Below are 18,867 nucleotides of genomic sequence, written 5' to 3'. Positions count from 1 at the left end.
TCTTGCAGACACTGTCCATGCTTCCTACTAGGATCCTGAGGCTGTTGGAGTTTGTGGGGTTTTCAGGAAACAAGGTAACCACCTGCCTCCTAGCACCCCTGACCTGCTCAGCCCCAGAACTGGGGCTGGGCTGCACAGGGTGGGGCTGACAGGCCACAGGGCCTAGGAGCCCATCCTGGCTCAGCCCCTCTCATTGTATGGCCCTGGACAATGCCCAGACCTCCCTGGGCCTCAGTCTTCTCTCTGGACAAATGGGGCTAGTGATCCCTGCCTGGCCCTCCCAGGGTGCAGAGGCTCTGGGTGGGTGTGGGTGTGAAGGGCAGCTCCATCAGTGGCCCAGGATCACACATTCTCTGAGCCTGACAGGTGTCAGGGGCTGGTCCCTCTCTCCCTAGATACTGCCTCACTTTAAGACTTTGAGTAAGTCCTTCCCCCAAGGACCATTTTCTGGTGCTACCACTTCATCCAGCAGATGCCTGAGGGAAGCCCTACTGGGCATCAGACCTTGAGGAGGAACCAGAGAACTCAAGCACCCAAAGACTTTACTGAGGGCAAGAACCTGAGTACCAACCCCAGGTTGAAGGCAGCAGATCAGGGAGGGCTTTCTGGTGGAGGAGGCCTAGTGTGGTAGAAGGAGCACTGGCCTGGAAGTTAGGAGCTCTGGGTCAGTCCAGCCTCATCCCCTTTTCTCTGTGACTCTGAGCAAGTCCCTCTCTTCTTTGAGCCTCTTTTTAGTAAAATAAGGGCCTTGTTAATGGACCAGATAAATGTTTCTCAAACGTGCACTGGCCCTTACTGATATTTGCCACACCCACGGACCTCTCTATTATAATTTATATATTACTTTTCTCAAAAGTGACTCATGACTTTTACTGAAATTGATTTAAAGGAAACATCTCTACACAAACCTCCATATTATTTGGCATGATAAGAACATAATCATAAAAATAAATACCACGAGGGCCCAGCCATCTTTTGGAAAGCCCAGCTAGACTGTGTAGCCCAGGCTCAGCCAGGCTTCCTCTTTCTGAGAAAGCGGGCTTAGGGTGAGAGAGTTCAAACCCCACGAGCAAAGGACTGGGGATTTCTCCTGGGCACCACCAAAGGATAGAAAGATAACAGAAGGGAAAACCCTCACCGTGACTCAGTGTTTCCTGGCATCTGCCCATGGACCCCTGAAATCTTAGCTGCTATCTGCTGCCCGAGCTTTGGAAAACATTGGCTAGAGGCTGTGAAGGTCTCTTTCAGTTTTGTTTCCTTAAGAAAGCGCATGGGTCATGAGTAGGATTTCAGGATGAAGGGAGGACCCAGAGGTGAGGCAGTGTGGCCTGGCCAGGAGGGTTGCGGGACCTACTGTGCCAGCCTGGGCTTCCTCTTTATCTCGAAGGCAGGGGAGCCATGGAGGGTTTGAGGCAGGAGTGAGGCAGGTCAGATTTGTGTTTTAGAAAGAACAAGAATGCTCTGGAGGACAGACAGAGGGGCAGAGACTGCAGGCAGGGAAACAAGGTGGGGGGTCTGCCCCCAGCCCCTCCCCAGCCAGGCTCTGGAGGCTTCTCCCCCAGGAAGCCTTCCCAGGCCCCACCTATGCCCTGAGCCCATGGCTGGGATCATCCACCTCCGTGTCTCTCCTGCTCCCAACCAGACCTTGGGCCCTCAATACCCATCGCAGGGCGGCCAAGCCCGTGACTACAGGGAGGCTGGGGAAGGGGCTGTGGAGAAGGTGGGGGACACCTCAGACCCGCCAAGCCTTTGTCCTGGCCTTGGCAGCCGTGTCCCCTTCTCCCAGGAATGTGCTGGGGCACTGAGGGGCAGCCACTTGCTCAGGGCCACACAGCTGACCTGGCCCCCAGGGTTCCAGTGCTCTTCCGCCCCTGTGCCGGCAGCACTGCCCACACAGCTGTCCAGCTGCCTCCCAGGCCCCTGCCCTCTCTGGGAGCCTCACCCACCCTCCCATCCCCTCAGGACTATGGGCTGCTGCAGCTGGAGGAGGGAGCGTCAGGGCACAGCTTCCGCTCTGTGCTCTGTGTCATGCTCCTGCTGTGCTACCACACCTTCCTCACCTTCGTGCTCGGTAGGTGTACAGGGGGACCTGGGGCCCTGGGGTTTGGTCGTCTCCAAGGGGGAAGGAGAACGAGGGGCTACAGACCCTGTTCATGCCCTGTGGCTAGGGATAGGGGTACTGAAACCAGAAACAGAGCCACATCCACTGTCCTGGGGACTGGCCTGCTGACGCCCACTGCCTCACAGTGTGACTGGGTTCCAGCCTCAGTTTTCTCATCTGTGAAATGGGGGTGGTTGTGCCCACCCTGTAGAGGGTGTGAAGACACTGTGTACAGCACCTTATGGTTCTGGGCACAGCCTTGGTGGATGCAGGCTCCTGGTTATCGAGCCCTGTGAAGTGCTGGGGGCGATATCTGCCCTGCCTTATTTAATCCTCATGTCACCCTAGGGACAGGGAGAATTATCTCGATTTCACAGAGGGGGAGGGGGAGACCCTGGGAAGCCCCTGCTGGGTTGCTGGCAGGATCACAGGAGCCAGGGGTGGTGACATGTTCTGTGTCTCCCCCACCATCTCCTCCAGGTACTGGGAACGTCAACATCGAGGAGGCCGAGAAGCTCTTGAAGCCCTACCTGAACCGGTACCCTAAGGTGAGCCCCATGTGCTGCCCGGTACCCCCAGCCCACAAACACCCACAGACCCCACGGACCCACACGGACTTACATGTGTGTCATTGCAGGGTGCCATCTTCCTGTTCTTTGCAGGGAGGATTGAAGTCATTAAAGGCAACATTGATGCAGTGAGTGATGGGGGTCCGGGCCGGGGCTGGGGATCCCTCGGGGTCTCCCAGACCAGCAGGAAGTCAGGCACATGTGACATACTCAGGGACAGGATAGACTGGGGGCGGGGGGGGGGCCAAGAGAGAACCAACCAGAGAGCAGGGGCAGGAGAGGCCCTTCTGGCAGAGCAGCCTGGGAAGACAAGGGAGGAGGAGGCATTTGTGGTGCCTGGGATTTTGACTGGGAGATATAGGACTGCAGCATTGCAGTGGAGGGAGGTGGAGGGAGGTGCTTGAGGGAGGCAGAGGTTAGGAAAGCCCATCTGTTTAGGGCATGACGATTAGGCTGGAGTCTGGTACCTCCCCTCCATTATAGCTCTCTCCTGCTCTTTCATTTTGTTACTAAAAACCAGAGTCCTAGGCGGGGGCTGTATTTGAGCCCAACGTCATGTAAGACTTAGGAGGTAAAACCAGGACTGGAGGCCAGATCTCCTGGCTCCTGGGGCCCCACCTGAGCCTAGCACAGGGCTGGACCACTATGCCCTGGAGGAGTCCCGGTCTGCTGTGGTGTTGGGAGGTTCGGAGGATGCAGAGGGGTTGGGGCTGGGTGGGCACCCGTCAGGCTGACCAGAAGGTGCCTGCAGGCCATCCGGCGTTTCGAGGAGTGCTGTGAGGCCCAGCAGCACTGGAAGCAGTTCCACCACATGTGCTACTGGGAGCTGATGTGGTGCTTCACCTACAAGGGCCAGTGGAAGATGTCCTACTTCTACGCCGACCTGCTCAGCAAGGAGAACTGCTGGTCCAAGGTGGGCTGATGCCACGTGTTAGGGGCATTGGGTGACCAGGGCTGACTGTGTGCCTCCAGACCACGGGCCAAATCCCTAACTGAACACAGATGTCTCAGCTGGAATCTAAACATAACCTTAAATTCTAATAGGACTCAGGCTTGGAAGGAACTAAAGACCACAAGAGAAACTTCTGAACCACAATGTGTCACAAAGAGATTTCTAGTCACAAAGGACAGAAACATGGCTCCCTCTGTCCAGTAGAACTGTTTCTGTGGTAGAAATGTTCTACTTATGCACTGCCCAAATATGGTAGTCACCAGCCACATGTGCACAATGAGCACATGAAATGTGCCTAGTGCAACTGGGAAACTGATTGTTTTCAGTTTTATTTAATTTTAATTAACTAAATGTTAAATTTAAATAGCCATGTAGGGCTTGTGGCCACTATATTGGACTATGCAGGTCCAAAACACAAAAGGCTCATATAACTGAACATTCTTGGCACATCCGACTTCAGGTAGGGCTGGATCCAGGAATTCAAATGATGTCGTCTGGCTTGGTCTTTCCATTTGTGGCTGTGCTCTCTCCTATGACATCTTTGTTTCTGCTGCATCTTTGCAGGAAGGTTCTCTCCATGTGACAGGCAAGGTGGCCACGGGCTGCTTCTACTCATATCCTCCCCTTGGTTTCAACCAGAGTCCCACAGTTTGAGCCTCACTGGTCTGACTTGTCACCTGCCAATGCCTGGAACAGAGGGGTGGGAAGATTCCTCATGGGCTGAGAGTAGGAGAGGGGTGGTTCCACAGAAGAAAATGATGCACCCAGAAATAGTGGAGGGATTAACAAGATGCCATACAGGCAAAACAAAGCCAAACAGATGCCCGCCTACCAAAGATGAAATTTATCATGGTAAGTATTGAAATAAGTGTTAGCTTGTACCATCATAGTAATGATAGTGCAGAAATTGGAACCAAGAGTCTTACAACCACCTAGCTCAGCAAACGTCTAATCTGTTATTTGTAAATACACAGGACATGTGTCTTCATGGCTTCATCCCCTGCCCATAGCAGACATTGCTAATCAATCCTCTGCCATGAGCCTAGCTGTGACCTTAGATACCTTCCCTGCAAAGCTCCAGGCAGCCGTTAGAACTGACCCACATTGGCACCTGTTAGGAGACCTGTCATCTGCATCTGGTCCCTCCCCCTCCTCTGCATGGAGGTCTCTTCCGTAGCCCTGCCTGGGGACCAAGCTGAAGGGGAATTCTCTGGGTCTGGGGCAGGTGGGGCTGGGGAAGGGAGCAGGCTTCTACTGAGCTCTCAACATGTCTGGCACCTGTCATGTCCTCCACACCACACCCAGTGAGGAGAAGTTATTATCTCCATTGGGCACATGAGGGCCACTGATGCTAAGCGAGGACTGTGACTTTCCCACCCACATGGCTGTTGGTGACAGACACCGGATTTGAGGACAGTCCTGTGTGACTCAGAGGCCTCTGCTTCTCTCTTGCTCCTAGAGTCCTCCTGAGGAGTCGGGGCTTGCCCTGAGCCCACCCTGCTGTTGAAGGTGCTTCCTCAGGCCCAGCTCCCATGGCCCCCACACCCCCTCCTCATCACCTCCTACTCCCAAAAAGGACAAAGCCTCAGGGAACCTTTTTTCTTTTTTTAGAGACAGGGTCTTGCTATGTTGGTCAGGCTAGTCTTGAACTCCTGGGCCCAAGCAATCTTCCCACCTCTGCCTCCTAAAGTGCTGGGATTCTGGGCCTTAGGGAACCTTTTTGAACTGAAAGTGACTCTCGAAGCCTTCCTGTAGAGTGAGGTGGGTGGCTGGGGCTAACCATATGGGGAAGGAGAGACCTGGTGGGGGCACACAGCTGCTATATAGAGGAACAGAAGGTGGGCCAGGCCTCCCAGCTGTCAGGAAATCTGGCTCAGTCCCCAGACCGCTGTGTGGCTTTGGGGTGGCCAGTCCCTCTCTCTCTGCAACACTCTCCTCATGAGGACTTCTGTGAAAAATGGGGGTTGTAACCCTCTGAGTTCTGGGGCCCCACCCATTTCTAATCTCCAGAACTTGGCCACCACAGACTCCACCAACTTCTAGTCCTGGGGCCTGGGCCTCTGGCCATTGCCATAGGCACCACCTGCTCTGTGCAGGCAGCGCCCCCCTCTGCCAGGATCCTCCGAGGTCAGCTGCTGGGTCTGACCCGCAGACCCTGGCTGAGCGACGGATGAACGGAGTATGCAGACACAGGCTTGCCTGTCAGCAGATGGGGGACCCCTGCCAGAGTCAGCAGCGGCCCCCATAAGCCTGCCACGCTTGCATTTATTTAGTACAGATGTAATGACAAAGGCCTAAAGCAAACTCCATTTGTGGGTAATTAACATTGTCGCCCCCCCAGAAAGAGCAGTCCTCCGCATGATGATTAAAGGCCAGGTTCCGAGGCCTAAGTAAACCAACTTATCTAGATCAATTCCCTTACTTCTTGTTATCTACTCTGAGAGAATTCAGCTGCCTTCAGCCAAATCCTTTCCCGAAGCTTTTGCAAAACCTCCGAGCCTTCCAAGGTTTGCTTCTTTCTGTAATTTTTCTCACCACCCTGACCTATCTCCTGCAGTCAGCCCTGTGGAGGCCTTTGTGTTTCCCCCAGTGCTGGCAGCCTAGAGGCTGAGATGGCCAGAAACAAGGTGGTGACAGTGGCGTGCTCAGGGCTTGGGAAACCCAAGGAGCTAAAGGCATGCCCAGGCAACCAAAGAGGACAGGAAGGCTTCTGAGGAGAGACCTCTGAGGTGGGTCTTGGAGAGGAAGGACTTAGGGAGGCAGAGTGGAGGAAGTGAGAGGACACCCCAAGCCAAGAGGGCGGCAGGACCAAAGGCTCAGAAGCCAGGGCGCTGCAGAGGGGCTGTGTGCCACAGGGTGAAGAGTTTGTGTGGCAGAAGGGCAGGGGGCTTGCATCAGGGGTGACAGCTGCTCTTTTGTCCCAGCATAGCCCCTGTACATCCCTGGAGAGCTGGGGCGTCCACAACTCTAAGTCACAGCCCCCATCCTAACCCTGGTGGTGCAGTGAGGGTGAGCTGTCTGTGGGCAGGAGGGAAGACTCTTGGAGATGAGCCTGGTGAAGGGATAATGGCATCCCGGGCCGAGGAGCAGCACAGGCAGAGGCCTGGGGAGAGTTTAAGGAGTGTAGGGGAGGAAATGGCAGAAGATGAGCCAGAAAAAGAAAGGTTAGGGCAGGTCCTGGAGGACATGAGTGGCTGTTTGGGCTTTATCCAGCAGTGGGGGAGCCTTGGCAGGCTTGTGGCTTAGATAGGTGCTTTAGAAAGCCCACCAGCAGTTGCTGGGCCACCCCGCTGGCTGGGTCCTGTTCTAAGGCAGGAAATACAAGCATGAGCAGGAAAAGACCCCCTCAAGGCTCACGTCCTAGTGGGGAGACAAGAAACACAGATGGGCAATATAACACGATGTCTGGTTCCAGTAAGTGCAGTGAAGAACAAGCGAGGCTGGATGCAGGGAGTGATGGGAGGGGCTTTGTAAGGGGAGGTCGGGGGAAGCCTGTCTCAGAGGACACCAGAATGGAGCGCAGGAGCAGCACGTGGCAGTCACATGGCAGGCCGTTAGGGCAGAGGGAGCTGGGCAGGGCACAGCAGGGCAGGAGTGTGTTTGATGTGTCCTGGGAACCGCCCTGAGGCCGTCGTGTGGCTGGAGTGCTGCAGGTGTCAAGGAAATTGTAGGAGATGTCTCCTGAGTGTGATGGAATATAACCAGATTTCCAGAAGGAACTGACATGATCTGACTTAAAAAGGTCAGTGTGCGAAATGGCTTGCAGGGGACAGGAGTGGGAGCAGGGAGATAGGAGACAATGTGTACCAGGACAGCAGAAAGACATCCCGGGTAGCCTGGAACAGGGAGACGGTGTGGAGATGGTGGCAGTCCGATAATGAGAGCCGTAGGGCAAGGCCAGCAGGATCCTAGAGTGAGACGGGAGGTAAAGTCACCGGGACTTGGTGTCTCCACGTCAGGGGCAGGGGAAAGGGAGAGGACAAGGGTGACCCGGGAGGTTAAAGATGGGACCGGGGCCAGACGCAGTGGCTCATGCCTGTAATCCTAGCACTTTGGGAGGCTGAGGCGGGCGGATAGCTTGAGGTCAGGAGTTTGAAACCAGCCTGGCCAACATGGTGAAACCCCGTCTCTACTAAAATATACAAAAATTAGCCTGGCGTGGTGGTGCATGCCTGCAGTCCCAGCTATTCAGGAGGCTGAGGCAACAAGAATCGCTTGAACCTGGGAGGCGGAGGTTGCAGTGAGCCGAGATCGCGCCATAGCACTCCAGCCTTAGCCTGGGCGACAGAGCGAGACCACATCAAAAAAAAAAAAAGATGGGACCGGGAACAGATTTCAGGGAGGGAGACTCTTCCCGCCGTGGCCCACGAAGACCAGCTTTCCCTCATGTTGTGAAGGGCGGGCTGAGGCCCCGGCATGGGTGGGGCTGCCAGGTGGAGGCCGCTTTCCGCCTGCTTTAGGCAGGACTCCCGGATGTCCGGCGCCTTTTCCTTTCCACCCTTTCTTAGCCAGGAGGCAGGAGCTGTGGTTCGGGGCTTGGCCACTTGAGGGCAGCACAGAGCCAGGCTCCTGTCTCAGGACTTCTGAGGAAGGGGCGTGGTGTGCAGGGAGGACTGGGTGGGGTAGGGGGTCTCCCGCAGGGCCACGGTTTCCCTGTCAGGGCTGGCTGTGCATTTAGTGGGCAAGGTGCTGGGGTTGACTCCCGGCTCTGCCCCAGTAGCTCTGGGGTCCCAGGAAGCAGAGGTGGGGTACGGACTCCTTTCTGGCATTGGCTTTGGGATCAAGCGAGGTGCTGGATGTGGTGTGCCTGGCACACACAGCAAGGCAGTTAGTTCTACCAGGGTGGCCCGAGCTGACCCGACCCAGGCCCTGCTCACGTTTCTGGCTCAAGCCTCTTCTTTTTACAGCCCGTGCTTCATCCTCCTATTGGTAGTCCACACACATCCTGCCACCTCCTGGCTTTGCTCAGCCTCTTCCTCCTGGCTGGAAGGCCTGTCTGGGGCCTCAGGGAATTTCCCCATTGCCCTTCAGGGGCCCACTGTGAAGCTGTTGCTTCCCGGAAGCCCCGAGTGCGCCCCTGTCCTTGTGTCTCTGCCGCAGCCCCAGTCTGTCCTGCCTATTACTAGTTGCATGGGTTCTTCTTGCCACTGCTTCAAGTGGAGAAGAAGGTGGCTGCTTTGACATGGGTTGTCCTGGATTCAGGTCTTCAAGTTGCTTCAGCTTCTTACCTTCATTTCTCCCCTGGGGCTTGGAGACAACGGGAGCTCCTGTGCTGGGCCACGTGAGGTCCGTCTGCAGATTCCAGCCCGGCTGGGGCTGGAGGAGGGCTGCTCACACCTGGCTGTTGCTCTGTCTCGCACAGGCCACCTACATTTACATGAAGGCCGCCTACCTCAGCATGTTTGGGAAGGAGGACCACAAGCCGTTCGGGGACGACGAAGTGGAATTATTTCGGTGGGTCCCACATCGTGCTCCCACTGTGTAGGCCACTCCCACCGTGTAGGCCGCTATGGACAGACCAGCCAGGCCACCCTGAGCTGTGGGCACTGGGGAGGGAGGAGTAGGGTGGCTCCCTGCCCCCACCCGCGGACTGCCCCCCCTGCGTGTCCTCCCCTCCCATCACCACCCCATGCTGCTGCTGCTGGTGGTTGGAGCCCTTTGACTTTCTTCAGAGGCTTTCTTTCACAGAAATGGTTTTGCTAATATCGTCTTCCTCCGAGTCTCTTTCATGTGGACAGTAGGACAGATGTGGCTCCAAGGTCCAGGGAGGGAAGGTCTTTCACTCTGCTGAGTTAACCTGAGACACTCAGAGAAGCACAGTAGAGAGCTGACAGTCGGAATCGAACAAACAAGAGTAAACCCAGCCTCTGCTTGTTCTTAGCTGTGTCACCTTGGACAACTTCAGCATCTGTAAAATGGGAACAACAACCTCCACCTCGCAGCACTGTTTTGCAAATCAACTAGATAATAAATGTTAAGAGCCTGGCGCATAGAACTAGGAGCCTAGAAGCTGCCCACTAAGTGGTGGCTGTTTTCATTCTTACCTGTACCACCGTGTTTGCTTCCTATGAAGTGTCTTTAGAGCAGAGCTCAGCCTTGGCAGGTGGAGGATGGAGCTTAGAGCCTTCCTCCAGTCTTGGTGAGGTTGAGCCCAATTTGCAGACCCAGAAATGGGTATAATATGAGCCTCCTAGGCTACTGTTGTCACAATAATAGGGCATTTATCACTTACAGAGTGTCTGCTACTACAGCAGACTCCATGTCCCCCTCTCAGATGACTCTTCCAGAAAGCCTAGGAGGGCAGGTGTCATTACCTCCATTTTAGAGATGAGGAAATTAAGGCCAAGAGAGGTTCTACAGTGAATAAGCAAAGGAAGAGTTTGGGGGGACCTCACACCCACATCCAGCTGTTCCCTGAGCCTAAATGGCTCAGGCCTGAGGTCACAGCCACACCCGGTGACTGTGGCAGAAATAGGAGGAGGGTGGGATGGAGCTGGTGGGTGAGGCCCCAGATGTGGGGGCGTGCCTGGTGGCATACCGCATTTTGCTCTGCCCTTGGAAACAGCTGAGAAGGCCAGAACTCGCGAGGCAAGAGTTAATTAAGGGTTTGAGCTGTTTGGTCTTGGGTAGGTCCCACCCTTTCTCCGAGTGTTGGTCTCTCCTGTGAAATTGGGGTTAAACTTCTCTTGGATCCTCCCCAGAAATGGAGCCTGGGAGTGGAGGCGATAACTAGGAGGCAGGGCCGGCCCAGGGGTGTTTGGCACACTCTCATCTCTGCCAGCTGGCGGGGAGGAACCCCTTGCCCAGCCATAGGAAGTGGCCAGGTCTTGGGGCAGGGTCTCTAAAATTATAGCCGCAGGCTATTTCAGACCTAGAAGGCTCTTTAGAGTCTAACACTGTCATTGTGCAGATGGGGAAACTGAGGCCCAGAGAGGCGCCAAGCATAGCTGGGTAGGCTGGGGACCCTCTGCCCTCTCCTGCTCTTTTTCATCCTCTCCCACCCTCCCCATCTCTTTCGCAGAGCTGTGCCAGGCCTGAAGCTCAAGATTGCTGGGAAATCTCTACCCACAGAGAAGTTTGCCATCCGGAAGTCCCGGCGCTACTTCTCCTCCAACCCTATCTCGCTGCCAGTGCCTGCTCTGGTGGGTAGGAGGTCTGGACTGGCGCTGCCCTCCGGGTATAGGATTGTGGGGATTCACTGAGAGCCACAGCCAGGGGGAGGTGGATGAGGAGAAAGACCTTCATGCCTCAGGGGCCTGGGGAGGGTTTCACAATTCACCTGGGAGTCTGGCCCAGCCCCTGCCCCTTAGAGAGGGTCCATTGGGGCTGAGAGTGGAGAGACAGGCAGGCTGCAGATAAAAGGCAGAGAGGGACACCCTCCTGGACAGAGAGCCCCATGTCCATGTGCCCAGGCAGCGGCATCACCCGGCTGCCAGTGATCCCAGCCTGTCTGCTCCAGTCTTGTCACAATGATTATAATTGTTTTCACGGTCCCCCTCACTCGGCCAACCTTTTCACGTTATATTCAACTCTGAACTCACATAATAGCCAACATCGTTATCGAGCACTTGCTATATTCAAGGCTGCCCACACCCATTGCCTATTGCCTGATTTGAGACTCACATCAACCCTCTGAGTAGGCGCTGCTGGTGTCTCCATTTTACAGATGGGGGTAATAAGGCCTAATAGATTAGTAGAAAGATCAAATAACTTGCCCAGGTCACACAGCTGGTGAGTTGGAGTCAGAATTTGAACTCAGCAGTCTGGGCCCACAGCCCATATTCTGAGCCATGGTTGTGATGCTAATTCTATGCACGATTTGAGTAGGCATCAGATAAAGTTCCAGCTTGCTAAGAGTCCTTGTTATTCAAGTAGTAAGGGAGCCAGAAAAGTAGAAGGAAGCCTGCTTGAGAGACCTTTTTCTGGTCCTGGCTGTACTGTTCATTAACTGAGTAGCTTTAGGTCGGTTCCCTCTTCCCCTTATGTAAAATGGGTATAATAATAGATTCCTTTCCCATTTTACAGAGCAGTTATGAGTATCAACGAGGAAAATGTGTTAAACACTTTATAAATTGAAACGGTCAATATTTATATAGTTTGATTTAGCACTTACAACCTGAATATTTCTAAAGTTTTAAAATATTTTATGGTTTAAAATATACCATAGGCCAGGCATGGTGGCTCACGCCTGTAATCCCAGCACTTTGGGAGGCTAAGGCAGGCAGATCACCTGAGGTCAGGAGTTAGAGACTGGCCTGATCAACATGGAGAAACCCCACCTCTACTAAAAATACAAAATTAGCCGGGCGTGGTGGCGCATGCCTGTAATCCCAGTTACTCGGGAGGCTGAGGCAGGAGAATCTCTTGAATCTGAAAGGTGGAGGTTGCAGTGAGCTGAGATCGTGCCATTGCACTCCAGCCTGGGCAACAAGAGTGAAACTCCATCTCAAAAAAAAAAAAAAAAAATACAGTAAAGCTATTACTATCAAGTGGAGCAGGAGGATATTGTAGGAAGGGCAAGGGCAGCAACTATACCAAAAACTTAGGGGAGAATTTCCCAAACTGTAATCTGCAAAATACTGTTTATGCATTAAATGATTTATGTGATTAAATACATTTGGGAAAGACTGGCCTAAACACAGTTTATATACTATAGGCTTTCTTGGAGTCTTTATATATTAATCTAAGAAGAAGTTTAAAGATATGTTTTTTCTCTAACTTATTTGGCCACAGAATCATTTCTAATTTTTATTTATTTCGGGGGAAGGGGAGAATCCTTTTTTAAAAAATGAAACATTTGCTGGCTGGGTGTGGTGGTTCATGCCTGTAATCCCAGAACTTTGGGAGGCCAGGGTAGGTGGATCGTTTGAGACCAGGAGTTCAAGACCAGCCTGGCCAACATGGTGAAACCCCATCTTTACAAAAAATTCAAAATTTAGTGGGGCATGGTGTCCTGCATCTGTAGTCCCAGTTTCTTGGGAGGCTGAGGTGGGAGGATCGCTTGAGCCCAGGAGGTCAAGGCTACAGTGAGCTGTGATAGTGCCACTGCACTCCAGCCTGGGTGACAGAGTGAGACCCTGTCTCTAAAATAAAATAAAATAGAATGAAACATTTGCTAACTTGGGACCACAGAACAGTTGAGAAATACTGGTCTAAACTGAAATTCCCTTCCTAGAACATAACAAGAACCACAACAATAATGTCTTTCTAGAACTTTATGGCTACAAAGTGTTTTCACATCCATTATCTTCTTTGATAGTTTAGGAAATGCTCATTTAAGCAAACACAGTTACTATGAATGAAAGTTTAGTACTATTATTTTATTTTATTTATTTTTAAATATTTATTTTAGAGGTGGGGTCTCACTCTGTCATGCAGGCTGGAGTGTAGTGGTGATATCAGCTCACCACAGCCTCAAACTCCTGGGCTCAAAGGATCCTCTCACTTCAGCCTCCTGACTACAGGTGTGCACCGCCATGCTCAGCTACTATTTTTATTTTTTTGTAGAGATGATATCTCACTGTGTTGCCCAAGCTGGTGTTGAACTCCAGGGCTCAAGAGATCCTCTAACCTCAGCCTCCCAAAGTGCTGGAATTACAGGCGTAAGCCACTGCATTCAGCCTAATTTAGTATTCTGAGCTTCCTGGCAGTCGAGGCAAAAACAAACAAACAAAAGGAACCAATAGCCTGACAAAGACATGGTGAAAAGAATTTTTTTTTTTTTTTTGAGATAGAATCTCACTCTGTCACCCAGGCTGGAATGCAGTGGGGTGATCATAGCTCACTGCAGCCTAGATTTCTTGGGCTCCAGCGATCCTCCCACCTAAGCCTCCCAAGTAGCTGGGACCCCAGGCTTGCACCACCATGCCTGGCTAATTTTTTTTTTTTTTTTTTTTTTTTTTTTGGTGGAGATGGGGTTTCGCCATGTTGCCCAGGCTGGTCTTGAACTCCTGAGCTCAAGTGATTATGATCCACCTGCCTAAGCCTTCCAAAGTGCTGGGATTACAGGTGTGAGCCACCATACCTGGCCCCAAGACTTTTTTTTTGAGACGGAGTCTCTGTCACCCAGGCTGGAGTGCAGTGGTGCCATCTCGGCTCACTGCAACTTCCGCTTCCTGGATTCAAGTGATTCTCCTGTCTCAGCCTCCCGAGTAGCTGGAATTATAGGTGTGTGCCACCACACCCGGCTAATTTTTGTATTTTTAGTAGAGATGGGGTTTCACCATGTTGGCCAGGCTAGTCTCGAACTCCTGACCTCAGGTGATCCACTCATCTCGGCCTCCCAAAGTGCTGGGATTACAGGCGTGAGCCGCTGTGCCTGGCCCCCCCCAAATTTTTTTAACTAAAAAAAAAGAATCTAAGAAAAAGAATAAAAGGAATCAGATGTGTTTTAAGAGTCTCAATGATGGTAACTTCATTCTAAAGGAAATGGAATATGAATGTCATTATTTAGCCCATTGCTTTGGGAGACTAGGAGTAGAAGAGAAGGTGACATAGCCTTAAATTCTGTTGTCCTGAAATGTGTGTATGGAGCATGGCCTGGTCCTCAAAGGACAGAAAGTGTTTGGCCCCAGAGAGGTTGGGAGAAAGGACATAATAGCACTCAGGGAGGGCATGAGCAGGAAAATAGCTGGAAAACTTGGGCAGCTATGAGCAGCACATTACGGACATTGGTCCATCTTACATCTTCACTGGGGTAAGGTGAGATCTCAGGAGGAAATCAATGATAAGGCTCCCATAACCCCCTCAGACCCACAGCTTCACAGGCTGACTGAGACCTGTCATGGATGATTAGAGCTAGAAGGTCCTTTAGTGAACCTCTGATCTGAACTGCCCATTTTGTAGATGGGAAAACTGAGGCCCCATTAGGGAAGAAACCTAGGACTGACTTGCCCCCCTGCCTTCAGGAAATGATGTACATCTGGAACGGCTACGCCGTGATTGGGAAGCAGCCGAAACTCACGGATGGGATACTTGAGATTATCACTAAGGCTGAAGAGATGCTGGAGAAAGGCCCAGGTGACTTCCCTCAGGCCCTTGGGCCTGCCATGCTAGGTCAGGTCTTTACAGCTGAAGCTTCCCTCTGCCAAAAATGTCCTTCCTCCTTTCCCTACCCTGGCAACTCTCCTTTATCTCTCTAGACTGAGCTCCTCCAAGCAGCTGTTCCTTGTCCACCTGGTAGGGTCAAAGCCTCTGGGCTCCCGCAGCCTTGGGGCTTCCTTCAGTGCTGACCTCACTGTATTGTCATTGTCTCAGTATTTGCCTTTCCTTCTTAGATGTGACCCCTGCTGAGGACAGGGACTGTGTCTGATTTACCTGTGTCCCTTTGACCTAGCACAAAGTAGGGGGCTCCATAAGTAACTGCTGCAGAAATGAACAAGTCTGTCTTTTTCCCTCACATCCCTATTTTCAGAGAACGAGTACTCAGTGGATGACGAGTGCTTGGTGAAATTGTTGAAAGGCCTGTGTCTGAAATACCTGGGCCGTGTCCAGGAGGCCGAGGAGAATTTTAGGAGCATCTCTGCCAAGTAAGTGCCTCTGCAGCTGCTCCTTCTGGGTCTGAGTCTCCTGGGTAGAATATTCAGGGCTTCTCCATCCTCATGCCCACTGCAGTGGCTGACCCTAGCCAACCCCCACTCACCACACAGGTACTAAACCAGTGTCCACTCTGTGCCAGGACTTGTGCCGGGAGCTGTACAGATAATTCAGACCTAGCCTCCCAGTGCCACCAAATTGCCTGACTACAGGAGTCCATCCACGTTGTTTTGAGTGAACAGTGTCCCCTGGAGTTTGTAATTCGGTGACTCTATCCTTGCCCTCAGGGAGGGCAATGTGACAGATGGCAAGCTGTAGGCAACCCAACCAAGGCTCGTCAGGGCCATGCTAAAGGAAAGCGGAGAGGACAGCAGGTGCCCCAAGAAGGGACCTAAACTTAATGGGAGATACCAGGAAAGGCTTTCCAAGGCTGATGTTGAAAGTGGGAAGTTCATCAGGCAGAGAAAGCAAGGGAGGACAGGTTTGAAGTGGAGTAAGTACAGCATGCACCAGTGCATGGACACAGGAAAGACATCTGAGGCTGGGGTGACGGTGATGGGGTCTTTACCTGCCTGGGTGAAGTCATAGAGAGAAAAGATTGAAGATGAAAAAGGAGGGATAGAATGAGAAGGGCCTGGATGTTTTGTTCACAAGGCTAAATTGTATCCCAAAGAAGACAGCCAGAAAGGGTACCGGGCAAGGAGGACTTGGGGTTTAAAAGGATATCTCCAGGACAGCATGGAGGTCGGGTCAGAGAGGGTAGATCAGAGACAGGAGACTTTACAGTTTAATAAACCATTCAACCTGGAGAAAGGGAGGTCGGGACTTAGGTGGCGGTGGACTAAGGACATGACAGGAGCCATAGGTTGTCAGGGAGCTGGAGCCCAAGGTACAGGATGGGAAGGCTTTGCTATGGATCCCAGCCTTTCTAGGGCTGGGTAGTGGGAACCTCCCAAAATTGGAGTTCGGGTTAGGAAATCCTCACATGCAGTTTGGGAGAGGCTCAGGAGGAGGAACCTGAGCCATGTCCTCTGTTCTGCAGTGAAAAGAAGATTAAATATGACCACTACTTGATCCCAAACGCCCTGCTGGAGCTGGCCCTGCTGCTTATGGAGCAAGACAGAAACGAAGAGGCCATCAAACTTTTGGAATCTGCCAAGTAAGGCTTGGGTAACCTCAGTCTGTCCTTTGCTCCCTCTGAACTCAGCTCAGGAGCTGGCTGGGGACAGAGTTGCCCAGAGAGCAGTGAGTGGAGTTGCTAGCAAGGCCAGTCTGGCAGTCTAGAGGGTGGACCTGTGTCCCTCGGAATCCAGCTCTCGCCTGTCATAGGAAGACTTCTTTCTTAATGTATAAATGCGCAGTTAGACTCCCAGAGGCAGGAAGTAAGTTCCCAAGGTCACATCAGAAGCCAACTGCATGGCTGTGTGAGGACCCATGCCTCCTGCCTTCCAGGGTAGGGGTCTATTCCCTAAAACCACCCCTTCAAGCTTAGGAACCCAGGAGGACCAGGAGTGGTTCCAGTGGCCATGATACCAGGGATGAGGGGCCACAAACCCTTCTGGTTAACTCTCCCATTGGGTAGGGCTCAACTCTCTCTGGACACATTAATTTCTCTACAATCCTTCCTTGGCTCGCGGGGCTCATACAGCTCAAACAGGAGGAAAAGCATCTCTGGGAGCAGGCAGCCTCATGTGTCTGATTCGCTGCTCAATTCCAGGCAAAACTACAAGAATTACTCCATGGAGTCAAGGACACACTTTCGAATCCAGGCAGCCACACTCCAAGCCAAGTCTTCCCTAGAGAACAGCAGCAGATCCATGGTCTCATCAGTGTCCTTGTAGCTTTGTGCAGCAGTTCCGGGCTGGAAGACAGAGACAGCTGGACAGAGCTCCTGAAAACATTTCAAAATACCCCCTCCCCCTGCCCTGCCCTGCCTTTGGGGTCCACCGGCACTCCAGTTGGATGGCACAACATAGTGTATCCGTGCAGAAGCCGAGCTGGCATTTTCACCAGTGTAGCCAAGGGCCTTTGCCAAGGGCAGAGCAGGTGGAGCCCTCTGCCTGCCCTATCACACATACGGGTACTTGCTTTTCACTGTGATGTTTAAGAGAATGTATGAACAGTTTACATTTTCCTTAGAAATACATTGATGGGATCACAGTTGGCTTTAAAAACCAACAACAATCAACCACCTGTAAGTCTTTGTCTTCACCTATTATCATCTGGAGGTAAATCTCTTTATATGATGATGCCAAAGGGCAAATTGCTTTTCAAATTCAGCAAGTTCTCAGCTTGTGTGACGGAAGGTCCTTCAGAGGACCTGAGGAATGCCTGGGAGAGGCTAAGCCTCAGGCTTCAATGCTTCTGGGGTTGGGCATGAGGATGTACACAGACACCCACTACCTTACTACTCACACTTCATTTCACTCCTTTTGTAAATTTCCAATTTAAAAATCAAGCACGTCTTTTTAGTGAGATAAAATCTGAGCTCTTCTGTAGAAAAATCAATCTCTACCAGTAGAAAATGCCAGGGCTTGATGGAAGAGCTGTGTAGCCCTTTCTATGCCAAAGCCAGGAAATTTGGGGGGCAGGAGGAGGTTCTCAGAATCCAGTCTGTATCTTTGCTGTATGCCAAACTGAAACCACTGGGAATAATTTATGAAACATAAAAATCTTCTGTACTTCACTCCAAGGTACATTTGCTTACTGACAGCATTTTTGTTAAAACTGTTATTCTTGACCTGTTGTGTATGCGTTAGATTCTTCAGTTAAGAGAAAAGAGATATTTAAGTGATAAAATTTATGCCCTTAAGGGATCGTGCATCATGTATTTCAATAAAATATGTGTTGCATGAATCCTTAGGCCAGGCAGAAAGTCTTGATCAGAAGCCACACGGCCTATGTATGTTTTATTTAGACCACACAATGTTTTAAACTTTTTGAATAAGTTACCAGCATTCACAAATGGGGAGATTTTACAGATGAATCTGGTTCCTGGCCTGTAATTTAAAAACAAACAAACAAAAATGGCAACATTGAGCCTCATTCCCATGAGGCAACAATCAGCTAGAGCTAAGTCCAGGCTACTTTAAACACTTCTGTTACCTTTCTGGCCCCTAAAAGCATCTGAATTTGCAACCTCTAGGATTGTTAAAGTGAGAACTCAGGTTCAATGACCAACACCAGGTTTTACTCTTCACTTTCTGATGTCAGCACACTTCAACCTAACCATTTCCCCGTAGGGAAAATCATGCACACAGTAAAAATATTCATCTGTGAAAACGTTACTCCCCAAATGCATGAATGCAGTTTCTACGAGAGAAGAACCAGTTAAACTTTCCAATCTTCTAGGATTGCTGTATTTAACAAACACGAGTATCTGCCAAGGGTCTGGGTTAATATATAAAGATCCAGTCGGTCGGGCACGATGGCTCACGCCTGTAATCCCAGCACTTTGGGAGGTTGAGGTGGGTGGATCATGAGGTCAGGAGATCGAGACCATCCTGACCAATATGGTGAAACCTCGTCTCTACTAAAAATTAAAAAATTAGCTGGGCGTGGTGGCGCATGCCTGTAGTCCCAGCTACTTGGGCAGGAGAATCGCTTGAACCCAGTAGGCAGAGGTTGCAGTGAGCTGAGATCGTGTCATTGTACTCCAGCCTGGCGACAGAGGGAGACTCCATCTCAAAAAAAAAAAAAAAAGATCCAGT

At 51.6% G+C, this 18,867-nt stretch overlaps 1 protein-coding gene and 1 long non-coding RNA gene across 22 annotated transcripts in view, besides 2 other annotated features; one reads left to right on the top strand and one right to left on the bottom strand.

Annotated features, from left to right (window-relative positions):
• TTC39A (tetratricopeptide repeat domain 39A) overlaps positions 1 to 17,897 on the top strand; it is a 57,859-nt gene extending 39,962 nt beyond the window's left edge. For 18 of the 21 annotated variants that reach the window (NM_001144832.2, XM_011541048.3, XM_011541053.3 and 15 more), the window contains exons 8-18: positions 9 to 74; positions 1,963 to 2,071; positions 2,582 to 2,649; positions 2,739 to 2,798; positions 3,422 to 3,583; positions 8,985 to 9,076; positions 10,644 to 10,764; positions 14,530 to 14,641; positions 15,036 to 15,150; positions 16,200 to 16,316; positions 16,875 to 17,897. In NM_001144832.2, coding sequence (NP_001138304.1) covers positions 9 to 74; positions 1,963 to 2,071; positions 2,582 to 2,649; positions 2,739 to 2,798; positions 3,422 to 3,583; positions 8,985 to 9,076; positions 10,644 to 10,764; positions 14,530 to 14,641; positions 15,036 to 15,150; positions 16,200 to 16,316; positions 16,875 to 16,998 — 1,146 coding nt within the window. In that variant the 3' untranslated portion in view covers positions 16,999 to 17,897. Of the gene's footprint in view, positions 1 to 8; positions 75 to 1,962; positions 2,072 to 2,581; positions 2,650 to 2,738; positions 2,799 to 3,421; positions 3,584 to 7,193; positions 7,365 to 8,984; positions 9,618 to 10,643; positions 10,765 to 14,529; positions 14,642 to 15,035; positions 15,151 to 16,199; positions 16,317 to 16,874 lie in introns of those variants that run through there. The other 3 variants (NM_001297666.1, NM_001297662.2, NM_001297667.1) reach the window with 3 other exon arrangements.
• Positions 3,860 to 3,909: a silencer, noted in NCBI's record as "silent region_874". NCBI's record gives its function as "represses an Ori minimal core promoter by ATAC-STARR-seq in GM12878 lymphoblastoid cells {active_cell/tissue: GM12878}" and the evidence as "EXISTENCE:reporter gene assay evidence [ECO:0000049][PMID:35858748]".
• Positions 3,939 to 10,649, bottom strand: LOC124904177 (uncharacterized). The gene is made up of 2 exons (XR_007066082.1): positions 9,667 to 10,649; positions 3,939 to 4,309 (listed from the first exon to the last, which is right to left on the bottom strand). It is a non-coding gene; the product is annotated as an uncharacterized LOC124904177 (long non-coding RNA).
• Positions 6,732 to 7,374: an enhancer, noted in NCBI's record as "H3K4me1 hESC enhancer chr1:51763453-51764095 (GRCh37/hg19 assembly coordinates)". NCBI's record gives its function as "activates a minimal SCP1, AML or CMV promoter by ChIP-STARR-seq in naive H9 embryonic stem cells {active_cell/tissue: H9 hESC(naive)}" and the evidence as "EXISTENCE:reporter gene assay evidence [ECO:0000049][PMID:30033119]".
• Positions 17,898 to 18,867: the final 970 nt, after the last annotated feature.

This window comes from Homo sapiens, chromosome 1 (assembly GCF_000001405.40).
Source record: "Homo sapiens chromosome 1, GRCh38.p14 Primary Assembly".
Classification (NCBI taxonomy): Eukaryota; Metazoa; Chordata; class Mammalia; order Primates; family Hominidae; genus Homo; species Homo sapiens.
The sequence above is the reverse complement of the archived record's forward strand: the minus strand, read 5'-3'. Positions and strand labels throughout refer to the sequence as shown.